Here is a 26,162-nt window from a genome sequence, read left to right on the forward strand (position 1 = left end):
ATATAGTTGTCCTGTAAGATCACTGGAAGAGCTACAGAAAAAGACTGTAAACTTGGGAATGGTACACAGGGCCACATCCCACAGCAAGCCCACCTAAGGCACTGCTGTGCCTACTGCACGCACGAAACTGCTGAATCAGAATTATTATTATTATTACTTTTTTTTTTTTTTTGAGATGGAGTTTTGCTCTGTCGCCCAGGCTGGAGTGCAGTGGTGCAATCGGCTCACTGCAACCTCTGCCTCCTGGGTTCAAGCGATTCTCCTGCGTTCAAGCGATTCTCCTGCCTCAGCCTCCTGAGTAGCTAGGATTACAGGCATGCACCACCATGCCTAGCTAGTTTTTGTATTTTTAGTAGAGACGAGGTTTCACCATGTTGGTCAGGCTGGTCTCGAACCCCTGACCTCGTGGTCCGCCTGCCTCAGCCTCCCAAAGTGCTGGGATTACAGGCATGAGCCACCACTCCTGGCCTACCTTACTATTTTTAAGTCTCTTCTCTCCCCAGAAGTGTGAAGCAGAGTTCTTGGGCTCCTTGAGCATTTGTTAAGATAGGTTGTATCTAGATGAAGAGCTATTTCTCTGCTTACCATAATATTATCCTTTTTCTTAGCGATCATCCCATTAAGTAGGTATCTTTTATTTACTACCATTTCTCTATATTTTTGTGAATGAGAAAAGAACCTAAGTATCTCAGGTGAGACAACTTGGGAGCAAAACTGTGGTGTTGGTTTTCTTCCTAAGATAGTCAGAGCTTTGTGCAGACTATCCTATGGCTGTTTGAATTTCTGTTAAAGCATCTCTGGTACAGCCATATTCCAAGACTGGTACAATGAGTTGTGTCTCTGTGCCCCTCCCAGGGTCCTCCTAAACATTTGGGGAGACGTTTATACTTCTTGATAGCCTACAAAATTGGAACTCTAATTATTGTTATTTAAGTCTTAAAAGGAAGGGGTGACCTCTGAAGTCTGGAGAACTTGGGGATACTTGGGGTTTCATTTTTTAACTTTTAGGTTCAGGGGTACTTGTGTAGATTTGTCATATAGGTAAATTCATGTCATGGGGATTTGTTGTACAGATGACTTTATCACCCAAGTACTAAGCCTAGTACCCAATAGTTATTTTTTCTGATCCGCTCTCTCCTCCCACCCTCCACCCTCAAGTAGGCCCCATTATCTGTTGTTCCCCTCTTTGTGTCCATGTTTTCTCAGCATTTAGCTCCCACTTAAAAAGTGAGAACACGCGGTATTTGGTTTTCTGTTCCTGCATTAGTTTGCTAAAGATAATAGCCTCCAGTTCCATACATGTTCCCACAAATGACATGATCTTATTCTTTTTTATGGCTGCTTAGTATTCCACGGTGTATATGTACCACATTTCCTTTATCGAATATGTCAATGACAGGCATTTAAGTTGATTCCATGTCTTCGCTGTTGTTAATAGTGCTGCAACAAACATTCACATGCATGTGTTTTTATGGTAGAATATATTCCTCTGGGCATATACTCAGTAATGGGATTGCTGGGTCAAATGGTAGTTCTGTTTTTAGCTCTATAAGGAATTGCCACACTGCTTTCCACAATGGTTGAACTAATTTACACTCCCACCAACATTGTATAAGTGTTCCCTTTTTTCCAAAACTTTGCCAATATGTTATTTTTTGACTATTTAAAAATAGCCATTCTGACTGGTGTGAGATGGTATCTCCTTGTGATTTTGATTTGCATTTCTCTAATGATCGTTATATTGAGTCTTTTTTCATATGTTTTTTACCACATAGAGAACCCTGAAATAAGGCCACACACCTACAACCATCTGATCTTCAACAAAGCTGACAAAAACAAGCAATAGGGAAAAGATTCTCTATTTAATAAATTGTGCTGGGATAACTGGCTAGCCATATGCAGAAAATTGAAACTGGACCTCTTCCTTACACCATATACAAAAATAAACTAAAGATGGATTAAAGATTTAAATGTAAAACCCAAAACTATAAAAACCCTGGAAGACAACCTAGGCAATACAATTCTAGACATAGGAATGGGCAAAGATGTCATGATGAAGACACCAAAAGCAATTGAAACAAAAGTGAAAATCGACAAATGGGATCTAATTAAACTTAAGAGCTTCTGCACAGCAAAAGAAACTATTAACAGAGTAAACAGACAAACTAAAGAATGGGAGAAAATATATGGAAACTCTGCATCTGACAAAGGTCTACTATCCAGCACCTATAAGGGACTTAAAAAAATTTACAAGAAAAAAACAAACCCAAAGTGAGCAAAGGACATGAACAGATACTTTTCAAAAGAAGACATACATGGGATTTCAATTTCTAAAACAATTCAGGAGATATACACTATAATGAACAACAGCTGCTTGTTCAATATTAACATCAACCGAATTAACCTGACTTTAGATGGGTCTTGCACTGTATTCAGTAACAGTGACTTCCAAAACTGACTTTGTTATCTCAGGATGGAATGAAGCACAGAGTTAATATTTTTTCAGCAGTTTCAAAAGTACTTCAGATAGATGATACCCAGATGTTTAGAACAGTAAATTAAAAATGAAATAGTTCCATACAATGCTAGCTTTACAATCTGAAAATTAAAACTCCAAAGCAACAGCAATATTGGAATTTTGTGGTTTAATATGGTTATAGATTGGTATGTTGGGAAATAATAGTTGAATGATGCAGAAGAATTTTTCTATTATAGAAGCACTAACCCTTGACTGTTATAACCTGCCTTCCTGGCCAGAGCATTCAGCCATGAATAACTAGTCCTATTAGTCCATTCAAGGCTGTTTGCTGATAAGGCTCAGGCAATTTCTGTACAAATAGAAAATACAATATCAAGAAATCAAGGGAATTTCAAAAAAGAAGAGTATACCTTATACTCTTACTGTAATAGTAAAAAAGAACCCAACTCCTAAAAGAAAAAATACTCCCTATGAAGTAATACATAATTTTATATCTAAAGCCTATTGATCTAAAAACTAATAATTTTAGTAGGAATCATATAGAACATAGCAAGCAGTAAATTTTCCTGATAAAATCTACATTAAAATTATTATATTAAAATAGGCACTCTTATAAGACCTATAATGTCAGGCTCTAATGTATATACGAGTGTTCGTGGTAATTCTGAGATATCTCTAAATAACATTTTTAAAATGTTCCATCCTGTGCATTCCTTTATGCAATGTCAGAATTTGGTTTGTTAATAAAAAGCAAAAGGTTTTTTCCCATCACAGAAAGAATTTAGAGCACTCGGATAGACAGATTTTTAAAAATTAACCACTTAATAGACTTCCAGTAATGGTGATTGTAGAATCTACCCACCATTTAAAAATTTTTAACAGGATTTAAAAAAAAATGTAAGATGCTGGAAATATCCAAAAGCAGATGGAAGCCACTGAATAGTTAATTCTTAAAAATCTGCAATTGGGAAGGATAATAATTTTCAGTTTGTGGCTTTCTGTCCTGTGGGCACTTGCCAACCCCCAAAGCCATGGTTGTGGAACACAGTAGTAGTGGAAATTATGGTCTTACAAGCTCAAGGTGTCAGAGATCAAAGTTCACGGCTGGAAAAACAAGCGGAATTTTAAAGGAGAGATTCTAGCAGCAAGAGAACTACAAATGAACGAAGACTCAAATTCCGAGTACAGTAGGCCCTCTGTATCTGTGGTCTGTGCATCTGTGGAGTAACAAATAGCAAATCAAAAATATTCAAACAAACTGCATCTGTAATCTGAACATGTACAGATATTTTTCTTGTCATTCTTTCCTAAACAGTGCAACTATTTACATTGCATTTACATTATATTAAGTATTATAAGTAATCTAAAAATAATTTAGATATTTATTTATAAATAATAAATATAAATTTATACTAACTTAAATATAAATAATCTAGAATAATTAAAATAATTATTTAGATAATTCTAGAATAATTTAAATAATAAAGTATTGTGTAAATAGTACTTTATTTAAATACTAGATTAAATATAAGTAATCTATAAATTAATTTAAATAATTTAAATATTGAAAAAGTAGAGCCAGGCACAGTGGCTCACACCTGTAATCACAGCACTTTGGACGGCTAAAGTGGCCAACTGCTTCAGCCCAGATCAGCCTGGGCAATATGGCAAAACCTAGTCTATAAAATGTACAAAAATTAGCTGGGCATGGTGGTGTTACTAGTGGAGGATGTCCAGGTTCTTGGTGTTTTGAACAAAGAATTGGACAAAACACACACACACAGCAAGGAAAGAATGAAGCGACAAAAGCAGAGATTTATTGAAAACGAAAGTACACTCCACAGGGTGGGAGCAGGCACAAGCAGGCAGCTCAAGAGCACTGGTTACAGAATTTTCTGGGGTTTAAACACCCTCTAGAGTTTTCCCATTGGTTACTTGGTGTAAACTCTATGTAAATGAAGTAGTGGTCTGCAATCAATCTGATTGGCGGCAGAAAGTGACCAATCAGAGGCTGAACTGAAGTTATAAAGTTACACCCTATGCAAACATCTAATTGGTTGCAGAAAACAATCAACTGGAGGCTGAAGTGAAGTTACAAGGTTATTCTCCTATGCAAATGAAGACTTGGCCCATGACCAGCCTGATTGGTTGTGGGATGAACCAATCAGATGTACTTTCAATTTCTCATCTGCCACACAGAAAAAGGAGGGAGTTGCAAAGGGAGTAGCCTCTGGTCCTTTAGTTACTTGGGTATGGAAGGTTGGGGTTTTCCTTTTGATTTAGTTCTAGGAAGTCAGCATGAATCAGCCTTAGGTTCCCTACCTCCATACCCTATTCTCCTCCTCAGTGGTGCTCACCTATAGGCCCTGCTACCTGGGAGGCCAAAGCACAAGGATCACTTGAGCCCAGGTCATGGCAGCAGTGAGCCCTGAGTGCACCAGTGCACTCCAGCCTGGGAGACAGAGTGAGAGCCTGTCTCAAAAAATAAATAAATAAAATAAAAACACAGAAAGTTCTGTGGAGGATTATGCAAATTCTATGTCATTTTATATGAGAGACATGAGCATCTATAGATAATGTTGTTCCAAGGGGAGTCCTGGAACCAACTCCCCGTAAGGGACTAGATGACTACATAAACTCTGCCAAAATCCCTGGCTGATAGATTAAATATGCCCCCAAGTGGCCCAGAGGAGGGGAGAAAGCAGAGACCAGAGAGGAATTGGCTCCTGCAAAATGGACACACACAGGGCTTGCTCTGTGGGTTTGCTATTTGTTTTTGTTTGGTTTTTAACTGATGGTATATCTCATGTACAGAAAGCCAACAGCTTACATATTTGAAGTATGTACAGACTTGAAATATCAGAGGACAAAGCATAAGACTAGTGGAAGAACTTAAAATTCCTTGCCTAAAATCAAGAAAGCCCAAGCAAAAGTGCATCCATCTCTACCCAATCCCTGGCCAACTACTGTTAAGGGTTCTTGGGGTGTCACTTTGCCAGCCAGAAACCTCTGTGGCCAGTGATGCCTTTGCCTGAGTTTTGCTCCACCCACTCAGCCTGGCAGACTGGCACTACTGACCTGGATCCCAGACTTGCCAAGGACAAGCCAGGCACAGAGCAGGGAAGGGTGTGTGAATGAGCATGGGGTCCAGCCACTGTGCATAGCTAGGCACACCGGCTGCTGCAGTGGGGCAGGCAGCTCCAGGTGCCAGCATGGGCACTGGCTCCTTGAGAGGCTGCAGCTGGACCATAGCTGGCACCGGAGAACGCAGTGGTGCCTAGAAGCTTGGAGACTTCCAGGAACCACAGGGCCCCAAAGAGGGAGTCACAGCCCTGGCTCTGGGAGCTCCCAGGTCTGGGCTCCCCAGAGGGCCACAGCTCTTTTCTCCTCTTCACTCACAACATGGCAAGCAAGAGGCATATTTCAGGCCTGTTTTCATTACAGCTGTTTTTGCCCTGCCATTTAGCAGGTCCCAAATTCTTGTCCTCCATCCAGGAAGAATGAGGTACGTAGACAAGTGGAGGGTGAGCAAGACAAAGAGGAGCTTTACTGAGCAATAGAATGGCTCAAAATAGACCCTCAGTGGGTAGCTCCTCTCTGCAGCCAGGGTGTCCCAAGGAGTGTTCAACTCTTAGCAGAGAGGGTAGCTTCTCTCTGTTAGGCAGGTCCTCCTAATGAGTGTTCAGCTCTTACAGAGAGGGTAGCTCCTCTCTGCAGCTGGTCATCCCATCATCTCTCCCTCCTCTTCTCAAGTCTGGCTGAGATTGGGCTTTTATGGGCCTCAGAGGGGAGAAAGTGCATGCAGATTGGTCCATGGGTGGCCATGGATGGGCTGAAAAAGACACCACAAGTTCCCTCTCTGTTCTACAGGACTGGCAGCCCAGCCCCCCAGGCTTCAGGCTCTCCTTGGCTTGAAAGTGGAGCTTCACCAGGAACCCCAACCCCTTCCGTCCAGGAGCCTGAGTCTGCCTCCTGCCACCCTTCCTGGTGCCCAGGCTGTTTGCGCCAAGGGGCTCCTGCAGGCCAGCACCGAGCTGCCCTCAGCACATCCCTCAGCCTCGCTCCCATGTTCATTGGTGCCCAAAGTCTGGAGGGTACCAAAGTAGCAGGAGGCTGATGAGTCAGTGCTGCCCTGAGTGTGCACACACCCAGTCAGGGTGGGAAAGCGCAGGGGTTCAGCTTCAAATTTGCTCCCTGATCGGAGCAGGAGCTGACAGGCGAGAGAGGCCAGGCGGCAGGAGTAGACACCTCTGAGCCTGCAGGGGGAAGGGGGGCCTTTCCAGGCCCCCAAGAGTGCAGATATGCCTGGGTCTGCAGCCACACCTTGGGCAGCTGCAGCCGCGGGGCTCCTGCCTGCTCCTGGCTCCCACTGGCTCTACGAAGCAGAGCACTGCCCCAGGCCCAGCGCCACCTCGGAGGACCCCTCTGCCTGCCCCTCTGTGCCCAACTGCACTGCTCCCCCACCGGCGGACAACTCGCCCGGCCCATGGCGGAGGCCCCCAGGGCGGCAGGCAAGGTGCAGGTGGCCCGGCAGCCCTAGCCAACCCCGCACAAACGAACCCAATGTTCCCATGGCCAGCCCTGCGAGTTCTGGCTACGCCTTTGGCCAGGTGCTCATGGGACCCCGGGACACAGCCGGGAGTGAGGCTGAGGCTGTGGTGGAGGCTCCAGGCCTGAGAGGGGGTCCTGCCTGGCCGTGCAAGTGTGGAGGTAGCGCAGTAGCTCCCTCGGAGATGCGGGGTAGAGGGGACCCACCGCCACCTCTGCTGCTCCCACAGTTGCTCCTGCCGCCACTACTTGAGACTCCTCGCTGCCGTCAGCGTAGTGATAGCAGCGGCCACTCCGGATGGCCTCCTGCTGCCATCACTACCAAATTACACAGACACCGGGGTAACTTACATGAAGCCATGCATTAAAAAAGAAGTGATAGGAAACCAAAAGAACAGGGCACAGCAATCACTTGCCGTATTCACAGGGAAGATAGTTTGCAATTTGTGTCTGGGCAAGTTAACTTTTTACTAGAACAAAAAATCAGCAATTTTCAGAAGAATAAAAAAGAATTTAGAGTTGCTACATTTCATAATTTACAATATCCAGTTTTCAACCATGTAAACAAACAGCCCTGTGAGACCTATAATCAAAAAGAAAGAGAGGGAAAAAAAGGCAAAATCAATAAAAAGTGACTTCAAGTTGACCTAGATGTTGAATTGAGCGGTTGGAGACTTCTAAGCTATATATATACATTATTCTTCCAAGAATTAAAGATAAATATGATACCAATGAATAAATAGAAATCTCAACAAACAAGACTGAAATTTTATAGCTGAAAATTATAACAAATTTTTGAAATGTATTGATGGGCTCAGTGGTAGATTAAAAATGAAGGAAGGATGCATATAAAAGCTAATCGAAATTACAAAATTTGGAGAAGACAGAGAAAAGAGATTAAAGAAAAAATAAACAGAGCCTTAGGATCTATGAAACAATAGCAAATGATGCAACATATGAATAACTAGAATTCCATAGAAAGAGAAGGAAAAAAATGAGGAATTAATTTAATAGAAAATGCTAATAGGACAAAGAAGCCTAACAAATCCAAAGCGAATAAATACAAAACCTTCCTAAAATCATCATAATCAAACTGCTGAAAGCCAAAAATAAAGAGAAAATCTTGGAATCAGAGTAAAACAACCCATCCAGTTAGAAAGACAATGATTGATTAATAGCCCTAAATACAACCATATTACTGATTACATTGACTGTGAGTGAATAAACACTCTTACCAAAAGGTAAAGATTAGCAGGCTGAATTTAAAAAAGAAAAATCAACTCTATACTGTCTAAAAGAGATGCACTCTAGTAGGGAGATTATAGTTAACAATAATTTATTGTATATTTCAAAATGACTAGAAGAAAAGAATTATGTTCCCAAAACAAAGAAAGATAAATGTTTGAGGTAATGAATATTCCAATTATCCTGATTTGATCATTATACATTGCATAAATGTAGCAAAATATTACATGTACCCCCAAAATATGTACAACTATTATATATCAGTAAAAACACAAAAAAGAGATGTACTCTAAATTATAAGAAACAAATAGGTTAAAATGATTAAAAAAGATATATCATGTAAGAATAAGCATAAGAAAAGTAGAATAGCCCTATTATTATCAGACCCAAAAGACTTCAATAACAAGTGTTATTAGAGGCAAGAAAGTACACTTTATAATGGCATTATATATCATTTCTATACTTACATACACATATATAAGAAAGATATATCAATGAAAAACATGTACATATGTAATAATAGAGCTTCAAAGTATAAGAAGCAAAGCTTACATAACTAAAGGTAGAAATAGACAAATCCACAGTCATAGCTGATTTTAACACACAATTCCCAGTAACTGACAGAACAAGCAAACCAAAAAATCAAGGAAAATATAGAAGATCTGAATGACATTATCAACTATCTTAATCTAATTGACGTTTAGAGAACATTGTATGTAACAACTGCAGAAAGTCTCTTCTTTACAAATGAACATGGAATGTCCACCGAAATAGACCATATACAGAGCTAATAAAGAAGTTCCAATTTATTTGAAAACACTGAAATTTTACACTGTGTTCTCTAATCATGACATAATTAAACTAGAAATTAACAAAAAACATCAACAAACCTCAAATATATGAAAATTAAATAACTCACTTTGATACAAACCACAGATCAAAGAAATAATTACACTGAAAATTAGAAAATATTTTTCAACTGAATGGTCATGAACATTTGTCAGATGCCGCTAAAGCAATGCTTAGAGGAAAATGCATAGCGCTAAATGCTTATATTAGAAAAGGAGAAAGATCTCAAATCAATGATCTAAGCTCCCACTTTAGGAAGGTAGGCTAAACGGAGGGGTTAAGCAATTAAACCCAAAGTAAATAGAAGGAAGAAAAGAATAAGATTAGGGAAGAAATCAATAAAATAAAAACAACAGATGAACAATGGGGAAAAGTAACATAATCAAAAGCTGATTCTATGAAAAGATTAATAAAATTGATAAACCTGTAGTTACAAGTTAGACTGATCAAGAAAAAGAGCATAAATTTTCAATATCAAGAATAAAAGGCATCCGGGTATGATGGCATGTGCCTATAATTCCAGTTACTCCAGAGACTGAGGTGGAAGGATCTCTTGAGCCCAGGAATTCAAGACCAGTCTGAGACCTCCATCTTTAAAAAAAAAAAAAAAAAAAAAAAGGAGCCGGGCACAGTGGCTCATGCCTGTAATCCCAGTACTTTGGGAGGCTGAGGCAGGTGGATCACCTGAGGTCAGGAGTTCGAGACCAACCTGGCCAACATGGTGAAACCCTGTCTCTACTAAAAATACAAAAATTAGCTGTGCATGGTGGCAGGCCCCTGTAATCCCAGCTACTCAGGAGGCTGAGGCAGGAGAATCACTTGAAGACGGGAGGCGGAGGTTGCAGTGAGCCGAGATCGCACCATTGCACTCCAGCCTGGGGGACAATAGCGAGACTTGGTCTCAAAAAAAAAAAATGAATAAAAATTAAAAAAAAAAGAAAAAGAATAAAAAACAAGACAAAACAGACAAAAGACTAAACAGACACTTCACCAAAGAAGATACATAGATGGCAAATAAACACATAAAAAGATGCTAACCATCATTAGTTGTGAGGGAATTACAAATTAAAACCACGGTGAGATAACTCTACACACATTAGAATGGCTAAAATATGTTTGTTTTACTTCATTAATTTCTGCTCTTTATTATCATTTCTGCATTTGGGGGTTTACTCTGCTGTTCTTTTCCTGACTTTTGAGATGGGTGCTTGGATCATTGAATTTCAGCCTTAATGTATACCTATGTAAGCTAATATATAACCTAGAAAAGTGGAAAACTGATGACCTTTTGCATCCTACTTTTTTAATATACTTAAAGTCCTAGTGCTAATTATGGGAGAACGAGTAATAGACCAAAAAAAATAAAAGCCAGTCTCTTGATTCTTATTTAAGTGCTTCTTCTATTTTATAAACTTGATAACAATGGCCTCATCTTATAAACTTGGCAAGGAAAGCTTCTCATGATTTTGTGATGATGATGATGATGATGATAGCTTTTATTGACTGCCTTCTATGTGATATTGATAGCACTTGTCTATAGCTATTGATAACATGGTTGGCATTCAAATCTAAATCAACCTTAGTCTCTACATTTTTCTGCATATAGCCTGAGTATGTGGTAAACTATACCATCTAGGTTTGTATAAGTACACTCTGTCATGTTTGCATAAGGACAAAATTGCCTAATGCCACATTTCTTTTTTCTTTTCTTTTTCTTTTTTTTTTTTTTTTTTTTTTTTTTTGAGACAGTCTCCCTCTGTCACTCAGGCTGGAGTGCAGTGGCATGATCTCAGTTCACTACAACCTCTGCCTCCAGGTTCAAGTGAATCTCCTTCCCCAGCCTCCTGAGTAGCTGGGATTACAGGCACCTGCCACCACCCTCAGCTAATTTTTGTATTTTTAGTAGAGGTGGGGTTTCATACCTATTGCTTCATATGTGCTAGCACAGAGGAATCAGAGAAAAGGTAATCAAATTCTTAGTTATTGAATGGCAAAAGCCAGAGTTAATGTCTGAAATAATAATTTAAAAATTGGTTTGAACATCTGCATAACAGGCAGAGTGCTTACTTACTGGTCCTTCCTACATGAAAACATATACGTTTGAAGATGGTAGGAATGGAGATGGCCAGGCTGGTCTCAAACTCCTGACCTCAAGTGATCCACCTGCCTCGGCCTCCTAAAGTGCTGGGATTACAAGTGTGAGCTACTGTGCCCAGCCTAATGCCACATTTCTAAGAAGGTATCCCCACTGTTAAGGGATGCATCACTGTATTTCAGAGATAAAGTCACAGAGCTCATTGAAAGGGGTTAAGCAAGTGAAAGGGGTCAAGGAGGAGGCTTCAGATAAAAGGGCAAGTGAAGTTAGAGATAACAGGGAAATGGTAAATTTAGAGAGAAATCTAAGGGGAGAGGAAAATAATTAAGGTAATTGAGAGAATTCCAAGATGGCCAGTGGGAAATACATGTTTACAGGTCATGAAAGAAGGTAAGGCCAGAGATACAATATATCTATAGTCCCTAAAGCCACTCCTTAAGGGAGAGTGTGAAGATAATCGGTTGGTAGCAGGAGTTAACACTGCTTAGGTTTCTACTGAGAAGAGCAGAAGCCAGTTCAGTCTCACTCTCTCTCTTTCTCTCTCTGCAAGCATGAGCTCAGGATGCAAGAAGCACGATGCTTTCTTGTCCAGCAGCATCCACACCCCCAGTACCCAAAACCATACCCTACACCATGTTTAAGAGCATCTTAGGTCATTGAAAGGAGTGATCCCATAGAATGACCGAACAGGGACTAAACCAGGTGAGGCCCACATGGCATCTCTCCCAATGAGAAGTTAATAGGAGATGTGCTGTTCCTGTCAATGGAGGCATTCTTTCTGCTAGCCACCAGGGAGTTCACCAAAGAAAGCTCTCCAGGCCTGCCATTTGATTGGATGCCAGATGGCCTGGATCACCAATTCACTCCCTTTATCTTCCCGGCACTGACTCCCACTGGGGCTGCAGGAGCAGGGAATGAATGGTCCCTGGGTGTTGACTGCACCCCATCAGGTGATCTTTTCAAATCCTGATTCCTCCCCAAGGTATGTTGACTCTGTCATTCTCTCCTCTGCATCCCTACCATCTACAAACATACATGTCTTCATGTAGGAAGGACCAGAAAGTAAGCACTCTGCCTGTTATGCAGATGTTCAAACCAATTTTTAAATTATTGTTTCAGACCTTAACTCTGGCTTTTGCAATTCAATAACCAATAATTTGATTACTTTTTCTCTGATTCCTCTGTGCTAGCACATATGAAGCAACGGGTATCTCAGGTATAATTCTCAACAGCGTTAGTCACTCATCAAATACCAGAAAAACCAAATCTGTTCATTTACTAAAATAGTATCTTACCAAAGTAAGAGAACAAGGCCAAGGACGGATCCTCGGGAAACATAAACGTTTAAAGGTCTGCTGGAGGCTGGGCACGGTAACTTATGCCTGTAATCCCAGAACTTTGGGAGGCTGACACGGGCAGATCACTTGAGGTCAGGAGTTCACGACCAGGCTGGCCAACATGGTGAAACCCCATCTCTACTAAAAATACAAAAAATTAGCCAGGCATGATGGTGCATGCCTGTAATTCCAGCTACCTGGGAGGCTGAGGCAGGAAAATGGCTTGAACCTGGGAGGCGGAGGTTGCAGTGAGCCAAGATTGTGCCACCACACTCCTGGGCGATATAGCAAGACTCTGTCTCAAAAACAAAAAAAAACAAAAACAAAACAAAACAAAAAACTGCTGGAGAATGAGTAAACAATGAAGAGAATGAACTCACAGGACACCAAAGAGGTAGTATTTCCAGGAACAAGGTCAGTAGTGTCCGTGCCATAAAGGAATAAAGTAAAAGACATAGATTTTAAAATGCCCATTGGCATTGCCTCTCAGGTTCACATTAACCTTTCTCTCTGGAAAGGAAGTGTGGAATATGGAAACAGAGAGATACGAGTTTCAGTCTTAGCTCCACTCCCTACTCAGTACACACGTGGCCTTGGAGTTAGCTTCTCATCCACCAATTCAACCTAAAATGCTTTCTGTAGGTCACACTCTCAGCGTGCAGTCTTGAGAACAGCGGCTCCAGTGGCACCTGGAAACCTATTAGAAATGCAAATTCTTGAACCGTACCCCAGATGTACAAAATCAGAAACTGTGTTTACCAAGCCCCATAGGGTGCTGTGATACAAACTACAGTTTGAAAACCACCGAGCTGTAGAATTGGTGCAATGTGGAGAAGAGATAAAAACGTACAGAACCAAGGATAGTACTGCTAACACATGGTGGATCTTAAATAGACTGTCTGTCACCTCTACCCTTCATTCCTACCCTCACTCTGTTCTTCCTCGGCTAACCTTCTTCTAGCCTTTTTTCTTGTTTCTCAGCAATTCCCTTCCTTCTTTCTTCCCCATTCCATCACAAAGAAACACTCCAACATACTTAACTCTCCTAGGCCAATTATTGATAATGTGGTCCACATGGTGATAAAAGAACCAATTAGTCCAAATGCATTTTCCTTTCACAGAACAAAAAAAGAGCTAACTGGCTATTTAAAGTCATGTAGAAACCTCCACACACAAAGCCCAATTATTTGGCTGGATTTTTCACTTTCCAATTGCTTCTGTTGGTGCTATGTAGACAAAACCTAAACTAATTACTCTGTAGGTTTCTGGCTCTAACAGTATCAACAGAATGTGGAAGTCATAGATTGAAGATGCAGCCAAATGGGGTTCCTGGGAAGAGGAAATAAGCAATGGTTTTTCGCTTAATGTGGGTCCATATTTATTTCTAGTAAAAGCACATAATGAAAATTGCTATGTATACTTGCTGACAAACACATTGAAATGAACAGAGCATCATTACTTGGCACAATACAGTTTTTATTCCATAGCTCTTGTTTGTATGACATTTTCATCATTTACCAGAACTTTGTTTTTCTAATCACTAGATTGATAGAAGTAAATACGGAGTATCAGGAAGAAAGAAAAAGCTTGAAAACAACCAAGTGCCATGCTTTTATCAATCCCATTGCTTAATTGATAATCAGTGCATTTCCATTCAGTTTTAAACCAATTATTGTGATTTAGCTGTACAAAAGAAAACTCTCCTTTTAAGCTATTTGAAGTACTAGAAATAACTTTTAAAATGCCACAATTGAAACAGATTTGTATTAGGCAGATTATGTACAATCGAGTATTAATTCTATTCGGGCAATTGTCAAGAAGCTTCAAAAATATTGTCAGGAGAGTTTGTACTGTGATATATGGAATCGTTTTAACCCTTTTAACATCTCCCTGGTTTAAAATGTCTTTAGCACTGAGGGACTTATCAATCTTTATCTCATTTCTTTTAGGTCTATTTTTCAACGGCCCCCAGGTGCGCTGGCTTCCCTTCATGAAGGGTCAGCCTGTATTTCCTGTGCTATTCTCCACATCAGACAAAGAGGATATAAACAGCCTGAGAATCCCAGAACTGATTGCTGGGCTCCTGTGGCTCTCCTGAATTAAAATCCTCATGGCTTTGCGGAAATAGGTGAGGGCTTCTTTCTAAATTGGGAACCATATTTAGGAACTCAGGCTTGGTCCTCTGATTAATTTTCTTTTTTTCTCTTTCTTTCTTCTTTTATTGTTATTATTATTACTATTATACATTTTATAAAGATTTGCAATGTATCAAGCATCGTTGAGTAAATCTCCACCCGAAATTCAACCATGTAAAATGCTAGGTTATTGCCAGGTTGGTAAAATGATCTGAGCCGGCCAAATTGTAGCCAGGCAGATGGGAGCTCCAGAGCCAGGGAGACAATTGCCAATTACACGATATCTGAAATTTACATCACTGGGGCATTTTGGAATATTTTTACATATATTACATCAGTTAATTCTGACAGAACCTTATGAGGGAGATATGTCTGTTACTCCCATTTGACAGATGAGAATGTTGCCATTCAAAGAGGTCAGGTACTTTGCACAAGGAAGCAGATCATTGTCATTCTCATCTCTAGCCCAGATGTGACTCACTCAACAGCCCTAGCTTTCATCCACCATTCTGTAATTTCCTGTCTTTGTCACTCTCCTTAAAGCTAAAAACCTTACCCAGAACCCCAGCTTGGTGTAAAAACAGACTTTCCCAGTAACACCAGAAGTTCCAAAAACTACAGAACTCTGCCTCTCCTTTGCACCCAGTGTCACGCTCTTTCTGCCTGATAAGACCTTATAACCTCTTTCAGGAACCACCCACTTCCCATGTTGAGTGCCGCTTGAATCACACGAAGTGGTGTTAACACTTATGATATGATCTTAACCGAGTAGCTTGGCCTCTCTTATCTCAGCTTCCTCTTCAGCAAAATGAGTATAATAATAATAGTCATGTACTTTTGTCATGTGGATCACAGATAGCATAGATGTAAAGCCCCTGCTCTAGTACCCTAGGGACCTAGGTGCTCAATCAATGAATGGTACCATCCTTGTTTTTGCCAGTGCAGCTACCAGTTTCTCTATAGTTTTTTTTTTTAATTTTTAAAATTATTATACTTTAAGTTCTGGGGTACATTTGCCAAACATGCCAAACGTTACATAGGCATACGTGTGCCATGGTGGTTTTCTGCACCCATCAACCCATCATCTACATTAGGTATTTCTCCTAATGTTATCCCTCCCATTGCCCCCCCATCCCTCCCATTGCCCTGATGTGTGATGTTCCCCTCCCTGTGTGCTTGTGTTCTCATTGTTCATCTCCCACTTATGAGTGAGAACATGCAGTGTTTGGTTTTCTGTTCCTATGTTAGTTTGCTGAGCATGATGGTTCCCAGCTTCATCCATGTTCCTGCAAAACACATGAACTCATTCTTTTTTATGGCTGCATAGTAGTCCATGGTGTATATGTGCCGCATTTTCTTTAACCAGTCTATCATTGATGGGCATTTGGGTTGATTCCAAGTCTTTGTCATTGTGAATAGTGCTGCAATAAACATACATGTGCATGTATCTTTATTGTAGAATGATTTATAATCCTTTGGGTACATACCCAGTAGTGGGATTGCTGGGTCAAATGGTATTTCTGGTTCTAGATCCTTAAGGAATCACCACACTGTCTTCCATAATGGTTGAACTAATTTACACTCCCACCAACAGTGTGAAAGCCTTCCTATTTCTCCACATCCTTGCCAGCATCTGTAGTTTCCTGACTTTTTAATAATCACCATTCTAACTGGAATGAGATGGTATGTCATTGTGGTTTTGTTTTGCATTTCTCTAATGACCAGTGATGATGACCTTTTTTTTCATGTTTGTTGGCTGCATAAATGTCTTCTTTTGAGAAGTGTCTGTTCATATCCATCGCCCACTTTTCGATGGGGTTGTTTGTTTTATTCTTGTAAATTTGTTTATGTTCCTTGTAGATTCTGGATATTAGCACTTTGTCAGATAGATAGATTGCAAAAATTTTCTCCCATTCTGTAGGTTGCCTGTTCACTCTGCTGATAGTTTCTTTTGCTGTGCAGAAGCTCTTTAATTTAATTAGATCCCTTTTGTCTATTTTGGCTTTTATTGACATTGCTTTTGGTGTTTTAGTCTTGAAGTCTTTGCCCATGCCTATGTCCTAAATGGTATTGCCTAGGTTTTTGTCTAGAGTTTTTGTAGTTTTAGGTCTTACATTTAAATCTTTAATCCATCTTGAGTTAATTTTTGTATAAGTTGCAAGGAAGGGGTCCAATTTCAGTTTTCTGCATATGGCTAGCCATTTTTCCCAGCACCATTTATTAAACAGAGCATCCTATCCCCATTGCTTGTTTGTGTCAGGTTTGTCAAAAATCAGATGGTTGTAGATGTGTGGTGTTATTTCTTCGGCCTCTGTTCTGTTCCACTGGTCTATATAGCTGTTTTGGTACCAGTACCATGCTGTTTTGGTTACTGCAGCCTTGTAGTATAGTTTGAAGGCAGGTATTGTAATGCCTCCAGCTTTGTTCTTTTTACTTAGGATTGTCTTGGCTGTGCAGGCTCTTTTTTGGTTCCATATGAAATTTAAAGTAGTTTTTTCTAATTCTGTGAAGAAAGTCAATGGTAGCTTGATGGGAATAGCATTGAATCTATACATTACTTTGGGCAGTATGGCCATTTTCACAATATTGATTCTTCCTATCCATGGGCATGGAATGTTTTTCCATTTGTTTGTTCCCTCTCTTCTTTCCTTGAGCAGTGGTTTGTAGTTCTCCTTGAAGAGGTCCTTCACATCCCTTGTAAGTTATATTCCTAGGTATTTTATTCTCTTTGTAGCAATTGTGAATGGGAGTTCACTCATGATTTGGCTCTCTATTATTGGTGTATAGGAATTCTTGTGATTTTTGCACATTGATTTTGTATGCTGAGACTTTGCTGAAGTTGCTTATCAGCTTAAGAAGTTTTTGGGCTGAGACAATGGGGTTTTCTAAATATACAATTTTGTCATCTGCAAACAGAGATCATTTGAATTCCTCTCTTTCTATTTGAATACCCTTCATTTCTTTCTCTTGCCTGATTGCCCTGGCCAGAACTTCCAATACTATGTTGAATAGGAGTGGTGAGAGAGGGCATCCTTGTCTTGTGTTAGTTTTCAAAGGGAATGCTTCCAGCTTTTTGCCCATTCAGTATGATATTGGCTGTGAGTTTGTCATAAATAGCTCTTATTTTTGAGATATATTTCATTAATGTCTAGTTTATTAAGAGGTTTTAGCATGAAGGGGTGTTGAATTTTATCAAAGGCCTTTTCTCCATCTATTGAGATAATCATGTAGTTTTTGTCATTGGTTCTGTTTATGTGATGAATTATGTTTATTGATTTGCGTATGTTGAACCAGATTTGCATTCCAGGGATGAAGCCGACTTGATCGTGGTAGATAAGCTTTTTAATGTGCTGCTGCTGGATTCGGTTTGCCAGTATTTTATTGAGGATTTTTGCATCGGTGTTCATCAGGGGTATTGGCCTGAAATTATCTTTTTTTGTTGTGTCTCTGCCAGGCTTTGGTATCAGAATGATGCTGGCCTCATAAAATGAGTTAGGGAGGAGTCTCTCTTTTTGTGTTGTTTGGAATAGTTTTAGAAGGAATGGTATGAGCTCCGCTTTGTACCTCTGGTAGAATTCGGCTGTGAATCCATCTGGTCCTGGGCTTTTTTTAGTTGGTAGGCCATTAATTATTGCCTCAATTTTAGAACTTGTTATTGGTCTATTCAGGGATTTGACTTCTTCCTGGCTTAGACTTGTGAGGGTGTATGTGTCCAGGAATTTATCCATTTCTTCTAGATTTTCTAGTTTATTTGCATAGATGTGTTTATAGTATTCTCTGATGTGATGATAGTTTGTATTTCTGTGGGATCAGTGGTGATATCCTCCTCTTTATCATTTTTTATTATGTCTATTTGATTATTCTCTCTTTTCTTCTTTATTAGTCTGGCTAGTGATCTATCTATTTTGTTAATCTTTTCAAAAAACCAGCTCCTGGATTCATTGATTTTTTGAAGGGCTTTTCATGTCTCTATCTCCTTCAGTTCTGCCCTGGTCTTAATTATTTCTTGTCTTATGCTAGCTTTTGAATTTGTTTGCTCTTGCTTCTCTAGTTCTTTCAATTTTGATGTTAGGGTGTCGATTTTAGATCTTTCCCGCTTTCTGCTGTGGGCATTTAGTGCTGTAAATTCCCTCTAAACACTGCTTTAGCTGTGTCCCAGAGATTCTGGTATGCTGTGTCTTTGTTCTCATTGGTTTCAAAGAACTTCTGTATTTATGCCTTCATTTTGTTATTTACCCAGTAGTCATTCAGGAGCAGGTTGTTCAGTTTCCATGTAGTTGTGCGGTTTTGAGTGAGTTTATTAATCCTGAGTTCTAATTTGATTGCACTGTGGTCTGAGAAACTGTTTGTTGTGATTTCTGTCCTTTTGCATTTGCTGAGGAGTGCTCTACTTCCAATTATGTGGTCAATTTTAGAATAAGTGCAATGTGGTGCTGAGAAGAATGTATATTCTGTTGATTTGGGGTGGAGAGTACTGTAGATGTCTACTAGGTCTGCTTGGTCCAGAGCTGAGTTCAAGTCCTAAATATCCTTGTTAATTTTCTGTTTCATTGATCTAATATTGACAGTGGGGTGTTAAAGTCTCCCACTTTTATTGTGTGGGAGTCTAAGTCTCTTTGTAGGTCTCTAAGAACTTGCTTTATGAATCTGGGTGCTCCTGTATTGGGTGCATATATATTTAGGGTAGTTAGTTCTTCTGGTTGCATTGATCCCTTTACCATTATGTAATGCCCTTCTTTGTCTTTTTTGATCTTTGTTGGTTTAAAGTCTGTTTTATCAGAGACTAGGATTGCAACCCCTGCTTTTTTTGGCTTTCCATTTGCTCTGTAAATCTTCCTCCATCCCTTTATTTTGAGCCTATGTGTGTCTTTGCACGTGAGATGGGTCTCCTGAATACAGCACACTGATGGGCCTTGACTCTTTATTTAATTTGCCAGTCTGTGTCTTTTAATTGGGGCATTTAGCCCATTTACATTTAAGGTTAATATTGTTATGTGTGAATTTGATCCCGTCATTATGATGCTAGCTGGTTATTTTTCCCATTAGTTTATGCAGTTTCTTCATAGTGTTGATGGTCTTTACATTTTGGCATGTTTTTGCAGTGGCTGGTGCCAGTTTTTCCTTTCCATATTTAGTGCTTCCTTCAGGAGCTCTTGTAAGGCAGTGCTGGTGGTGACTGGATATGAAGTCATGGGTTGAAAATTCTTTTCTTTAAGAATGTTAAATATTGGCCGCCACTGTCTTCTGGCTTAGAGGGTTTCTACAGAGAGATCCACTGTTAGTCTGATTGGCTTCCCTTTGTGAGTAACTCAACCTTTCTCTCTGGCTGCTCTTAACATTTTTTCCTTCATTTCAAGCTTGGTGAATCGGACTATTATGTGTCTTGGGGTTGCTCTTCTCAAGGAGTATCTTTGTGGCGTTCTCTGTATTTTCCTGAATTTGAATGTTGGCCTGTCTTGCTAGGTTGGGGAAGTTCTCCTGGATAATATCCTGAAGAGTGTTTTCCAACTTGGTTCCATTCTCCTCGTCACTTTCAGGTACACCAATCAAAGTAGGTTTGGTCTTTTCACATAGTCCCATATTTCTTGGAGGCTTTGTTTGTTCCTTTTCATTCTTTTTTCTCTAATCTTGTCTCCGTGATTTATTTCATTAAGTTCATCTTCAATCTCTGATATCCTTTCTTCCACTTGTTTGATTCTGCTATTGATGCTTGTGTATGCCTTACGAAGTTCTCATGCTGTGTTTTTCAGCTCCATCCGTCATTTATGTTTTTCTCTAAACTGGTTATTCTAGTTAGCAGTTCCTGTAATGTTATATGAAGGTTCTCAGTTTCCCTGCATTGGGTTAGAATATGCTGCTTTAGCTTGAAGGAGTTTGTTATTACCCACCTTCTGAAGCGTACTTCTGTCAATTCATCAAACTCATTCTCCATCCAGTTTTATTCCCTTGCTGGCAAGGAGTTGTGATCCTTTGGAGGAGAAGAGGCGTTCTGGTTTTTGGAATTTTCAACCTTTTGCTCTGGTATTTCCTCATCTTTTTGGATTTATCTACCTTTGGTCTTTGATGTTGGTGACCTTCGGATGGGGTTTCTGTGTGGTTGTCCTTTTTGTTGATGTTGATGCTATTGCTTTCTATTTGTTAGTCTTCCTTCTAACAGTCAGGCCCCTCTTCTGCAGGTCTGCTGGAGTTTGCTGGAGGTCCACCCCAGACCCTCTTTGCCTGGGTATCACCAGCAGAGACTGCAGAACAGCAAAGATTTCTGCCTGCTCCTTCCTCTGGAAGCTTCCTCCCAGAGGGGCACCGGCCAGATGTGAGCCAGAGCTCTCCTGTATGAGGTGTCTGTTGACCCCTGCTGGGAGGTGTGTCCCCATCAGGAGGCACAGGGGTCAGGGACCCACTTGAGGAGGCAGTCTGTCCCTTAGCAGAGCTTGAACGCTGTGCTGGGAGATATGCTGCTCTCTTCAGAACCAGCAAGGAGGGATGTTTAATTCCGCTGAAGCTGTGCCCCCAGCTGCCCCTTCCCCCAGGTGCTCTGTCCCAGGGAAATGGGAGTTTTATCTATAAGCCCCTGACTGGGGCTGCTGCCTTTCTTTCAGAGATGCCCTGCCCAGAGAGGAGGAATCTAGAGAGGCAGTCTGGCTCCGGCAGCTTTGGGGAGCTGCAGTGGGCTCCACCCAGTTCAAACTTCCCTCTGCCCTGTTCGAACTTCCCAGCTGCTTTATTTACACTGTGAGGGGAAAACCGCCTACTCAAGCCTCAGTAATGATAGATGCCCCTCCCCGCACCAAGCTCCAGTGTCCCAGGTCGACTTCAGACTGCTCTGCGGCAGTGAGAATTTCAGGCTAATGGATCTTAGCTTGCTGGACTCTGTGGGGGTGGGATCTGCTGAGCTAGACCACTTGGTTCCCGGGCTTCAGCCCCCTTTCCAGGCGAGTGGATGATTCTGTCTTGCTGGTGTCCCAGGCATCACTGGGGTATGAAAAAAAAACAAAAAACAAAAAACTCCTGCAGCTAGTTCAGTGTCTGCCCAAAATCTGCCCAGTTTTGTTCTTGAAACCCAGGGCCCTGGTGGCATAGGCACCTGAGGGAATCTCCTGGTCTGAGGGTTGCGAAGACCGTGAGAAAAGTGTAGTATCTGGTTGCGAAGACCGTGGGAAAAGTGTAGTAACACCTGGGAAAAGTGTAGTATCAGCACTGGCCTGAAATTCTCGCTACCAGCACAGCAGTCTGAAATCAACCTGGGACACTGGAGCTTGGTCGGGGGAGGGGCGACCACCTTTACTGAGGCTTGAGTAGGCGGTTTTCCCCCCACAGTGTAAATAAAGAGTGCACCATCCCTCACGGCAGGGTCCCTCATGGCTTCCCTTGGCTAGGGAAGGGAGTTCCTCAACCCCTTTAGCTTCCCAGGTGAGGCGATGCCCCACCCTGCTTCTGCTGACTGTCCATGGGCTGCACCCACTGTCTAACCAGTCCCTATGAGATGAACTGGGTACCTCAGTTGGAAATGCAGAAATCACTCGCCTTCTGCTTTGGTCTCACTGGGAGCTGCACACCGGAGCGGTTCCTATTCGGCCATCTTGCCCGGGAATCCCTCTCTATAGTTCTGATGTGCTCGGAAAATCTTCAGATTCCGAAATGCCTTTCTCCAAGCTCAGAGAAAGAAGACAGACTCTATCTGCACAGAGCTTGGCTCTGGTAATTTGAGGGAGAGAATATTGGATTATAAGTCAGGGGTCCTGGGATCCAATCAAAGCTTAATATCTAGCTATATCCCCAGGTTGAGCCACATTTTCCTCACTTATGTTGTAAGAGATTTGGAAGAGAATTTTTCTAAGATCCCCTACAGCCCTCATAGTTTGTGATTCTAAGACTCCAGTCCCTCTGGGGAAGAGAGAAAAGAGGCTTGGGAAAAGAGAGAGGGGGAGGGAAGTGATAGAGTACACATACTAAGCATTCACTTACTAGACCAATTCCCCAAAGAAAGGCCTGAGTCCTTAAAGCAAAGCAGTCTGGTGTATGAGAAAGAGGCTCCAAAGTCAGACAGGCCCAGGTCTAAATCCTATTTATACCCAAATTTGCTTTGTGGTCTTGGTCAGGCTGCCTGAGATCCATAATCCATGTTGACTAGAGATACTGATGCATACTTCATAGGGCTGTGGTGAGAACTGCATGAGAAACTTCTACACAGTGCTTCTCAGATGGCCCACTACTGCATGAAAAACATATAATTCCCTTCCATTCCTTCACTCCTAGTCATAAGAGGGGAAACAGTGCAATGTGAGAGAGCATCTGTGATATTGTGATATAATAAGATTTTTTTTTTGTCTTAACCCTTGGCTCCTGGCCAGAGACCCTAGAACTCCTGTAATTTCCTAAGTGATAGGAGCCAGAGGAGCATCTTTTGTCGTAATATTTGATCCTTGCTCCCAGTTCCTAAAATAGCTCAGACCAATAAAGGTGAAAGCCACATATTTTGTTATTTTTAACAGGCCCCTTTCAACCACATAGAGTTTATGCTTTACTAAGGTGGCTTTGGGGTAACCCCTTAGGATGGGGAGCTGGTTCCCAGGAAGACCAGCCAAGTAATTAAAGGGTTGGAACTTTCATCCCCAAGCCCTGACCTTTTGGGAGGAAGAGGGACTGCAGATTGAGTTAATCACCAATGGCCAGTAATTTAATCAGTCGTGCCTATATAAGGAAGCCTCCATAAAAACCCTAACTGAAGAGGTCAGAGAGCTTCCAGATTCCTGAACATATCCAGGTGCTGGTGTACATAGGGCATAGGGGTTCAAAACCCCATGTACCCCTATAGCTTGCTTTATGCATCTGTTCCATTTGGTTGTTCCTAAGTTGTACCTTTTATAATAAACCAGTAAAGAGTATGCATTTCCCTGAATTCTGTGAGATATTATAGCAAATTGAGGAGAGGGTTGTGAGAAGCCCTGATTTGTAGCCAAGTTGGAGAGAAGTGCACATAACTTAGGAATCACTACTTGTGAATGACATCTAAAGTGGGGGACAGCCTTGTGGCAGCCAAACATTAGCAGCCAAAGGTATCTGAATCACACAGCATCAAAATACATTAGCCATGGTGAATCTGTATAGATCTGCAGCAACCTCAATTCTTGCCTCCTCGGAAGAAAGAATTCAACCAAGGAGGCATAAGACAGAAGGAGATACTGAGACAAGTTTTAGAACAGGAATGAAAGTTTATTAGAAAGCTTTAGAGCCAGAACAAAAGGAAAGTAGGGCCAAGTGGGCAACTTGAAAGACCACTGCACAGTTTTGACCTTTGATTAATGGTTTTATATGTGGGTGTACTTCCAGGGTCTTGTGTTCCTTCTTCCCTGATTCTTCCCTTGGGATGGGCTGTCATCACACGCAGTGGCCTGCTAGCACTTGGGAGGGGAGCATGCACAGTGTGTTTACTGGAGGTGTATGCATGCTCACTTGAGGCATTCATCCCTTACCAGTCAAATGTCCCTAGAAGGACATATACCAGTTAAACTCCACCATTTTGACTCTTAGTGCACATGCTTGAGCCCACTCATCCAGCTCCTGAGATCTTATCAGGAACCTGCTGATCACCCAGTTTCAGGTTTTTACTATCTATTGGGAGACGATCATTCCCTGGCACCAGCTGTGACCAATTATTATTTTAGAGTGACAGTTAACAACCACCTGACCATCACCTGATGGGTACCTGACATTCCTGGTGGTGGGAGGGGCCTTTCCTATCCTGCTGATGTCTGACCACCTACCTACCGTAACAGGACTGAGCTTTTAACCCATGAGGTCTGTGGTAGCTCAAGGTAGTATCATAATTGAATTGTAGGATACCAAGTTGTTGTCTAGAGAGTTAGAGAATTAGTTAATGTGAGGGAAAAGACTACACATTTGGTGTCAGAAGTGTTGTGAATATAGAAAAAACAAGGTGTTTTCTTTTTGTAGCGGCCAGTAACCAAAGCTGGAACAGTTTCAGCAACAAAATAAATGATAAGAATTTTGGGCTAGGCATGGTAGCTCACGCCTGTAATGCCAACACTTTGGGAGTTCGAGACAGGAGGATCACTTGAGGCCAGAAATTCAATAGCAGCCTGGGCAACATAGTGAGACACAGTCTCTACAAATTTTTTTTTAAAAAACTTAGCTGGCGGGAGACTGAGGCAGGAGAATAGCTTGAACCCGGGAGGCGGAGGTTGCAGTGAGCCGAGATTATGCCACTGTACTCCAGCCTGGGTGACAGAGTGAGACTCCATCTCAAAAAAAAACAAAAAACAAAGAAAACTTAGCTGGATGCCTGTAGTCCTAGTGACTTGGGAGGCTAAGTTGGGAGGGTCGCTTGAGTCCAGGATTTTGAGGCTGCAATGAGCTACCATCGAACCACTGCACTCCAGCCTGCACAGCAGAGCAAGCCCCTGTCTTTACACTTAATTTAAAAATAAAAAAAATTGGATCATAACTCACAGAATGGAATAAATACCTGTAACTCTCTACCAATAAAAATAAATAATTTAACATATAAACAAATTAAGAAGGGGTTGTTCTTTACAGAGCACTCCAGTTAATAATTCGTGATCTCTCTCCCTGAGTCTCTTTAAACAACAAAATAATATGTAATCACTAACATGGACATGATCTATCAATTTTAGCAAAATTTGAAGAGATGCCAAAATCAGCAAAATTTGAGGAGAAACAGGATATCTGCATAGTCTTAACATAACTCCTCCAAGACATTTATTAATTATAAAGGGAAAAAATAGTTACTTTATAGTGGATGATATGGTTTGGCTGTGTCCCCATGCGAATCTCATCTTGAATTGTAATCCCCATCACCCCCACGTGTCATGGGAGTGACCCAGTAGGTCACTGAATCATGGGAGCACGAGATCTGATGGTTTTAGAAGCATCTGGCAGTTCCCCTGCTGAAACTCACTCTGTCCTGCAGCCTTGTGAAGAAGGTACTTGCTTCCCCTTTGCTTTCCGCCATGATTGTAAGTTTCCTGAGGCCTCCCCACCAATGTGGAACTGTGAGTCAATTAAACCTCTTTTCTTTATAAATTACCCAGTCTCTGGTATTTCTTCATAGCAGTGTGAGAATGGACTAACGCAGTGAAGAAACCCAGCAGACACCAACTTAACCAAACAATCAAGGATAAAATCATCAGAATTAAGACATCATGTCCTTTTTTTTTTTTTTTTTTTTTTTTTGAGACGGAGTTTCACTCTCCTTGCCCAGGCTGGAGTGCAGTGGCACAATCTCAGCTCACTGCAACCTCCACCTCCCGGGTTCAAACGATTCTCCTGTCTCCCCCTGAGTAGCTGGGATTACAGGCGCTTTTCACCATGCCCGGCTAATTTTTGTACTGTTTAGTAGAGACAGGGTTCACCATGTTGGCCAGGCTGGTCTTGAACTCCTGACTTCAGGTGATCCACCCTCCTCTGCCTCCCAAAGTGCTGGGATTACAGGCATG

At 41.3% G+C, this 26,162-nt stretch overlaps 3 annotated features.

Moving 5' to 3' along the window:
- Positions 15,072–15,272: a silencer, noted in NCBI's record as "peak6423 fragment used in MPRA reporter construct". NCBI's record gives its function as "represses an SCP1 promoter by STARR-seq MPRAs in K562 erythroleukemia cells {active_cell/tissue: K562}" and the evidence as "EXISTENCE:reporter gene assay evidence [ECO:0000049][PMID:32103011]".
- Positions 15,292–15,492: a silencer, noted in NCBI's record as "peak6424 fragment used in MPRA reporter construct". NCBI's record gives its function as "represses an SCP1 promoter by STARR-seq MPRAs in K562 erythroleukemia cells {active_cell/tissue: K562}" and the evidence as "EXISTENCE:reporter gene assay evidence [ECO:0000049][PMID:32103011]".
- Positions 21,732–21,901: an enhancer, noted in NCBI's record as "active region_25695". NCBI's record gives its function as "activates an Ori minimal core promoter by ATAC-STARR-seq in GM12878 lymphoblastoid cells {active_cell/tissue: GM12878}" and the evidence as "EXISTENCE:reporter gene assay evidence [ECO:0000049][PMID:35858748]".

The sequence above is a fragment of the Homo sapiens genome, chromosome 7 (assembly GCF_000001405.40).
Source record: "Homo sapiens chromosome 7, GRCh38.p14 Primary Assembly".
In the NCBI taxonomy this organism is placed as follows: Eukaryota; Metazoa; Chordata; class Mammalia; order Primates; family Hominidae; genus Homo; species Homo sapiens.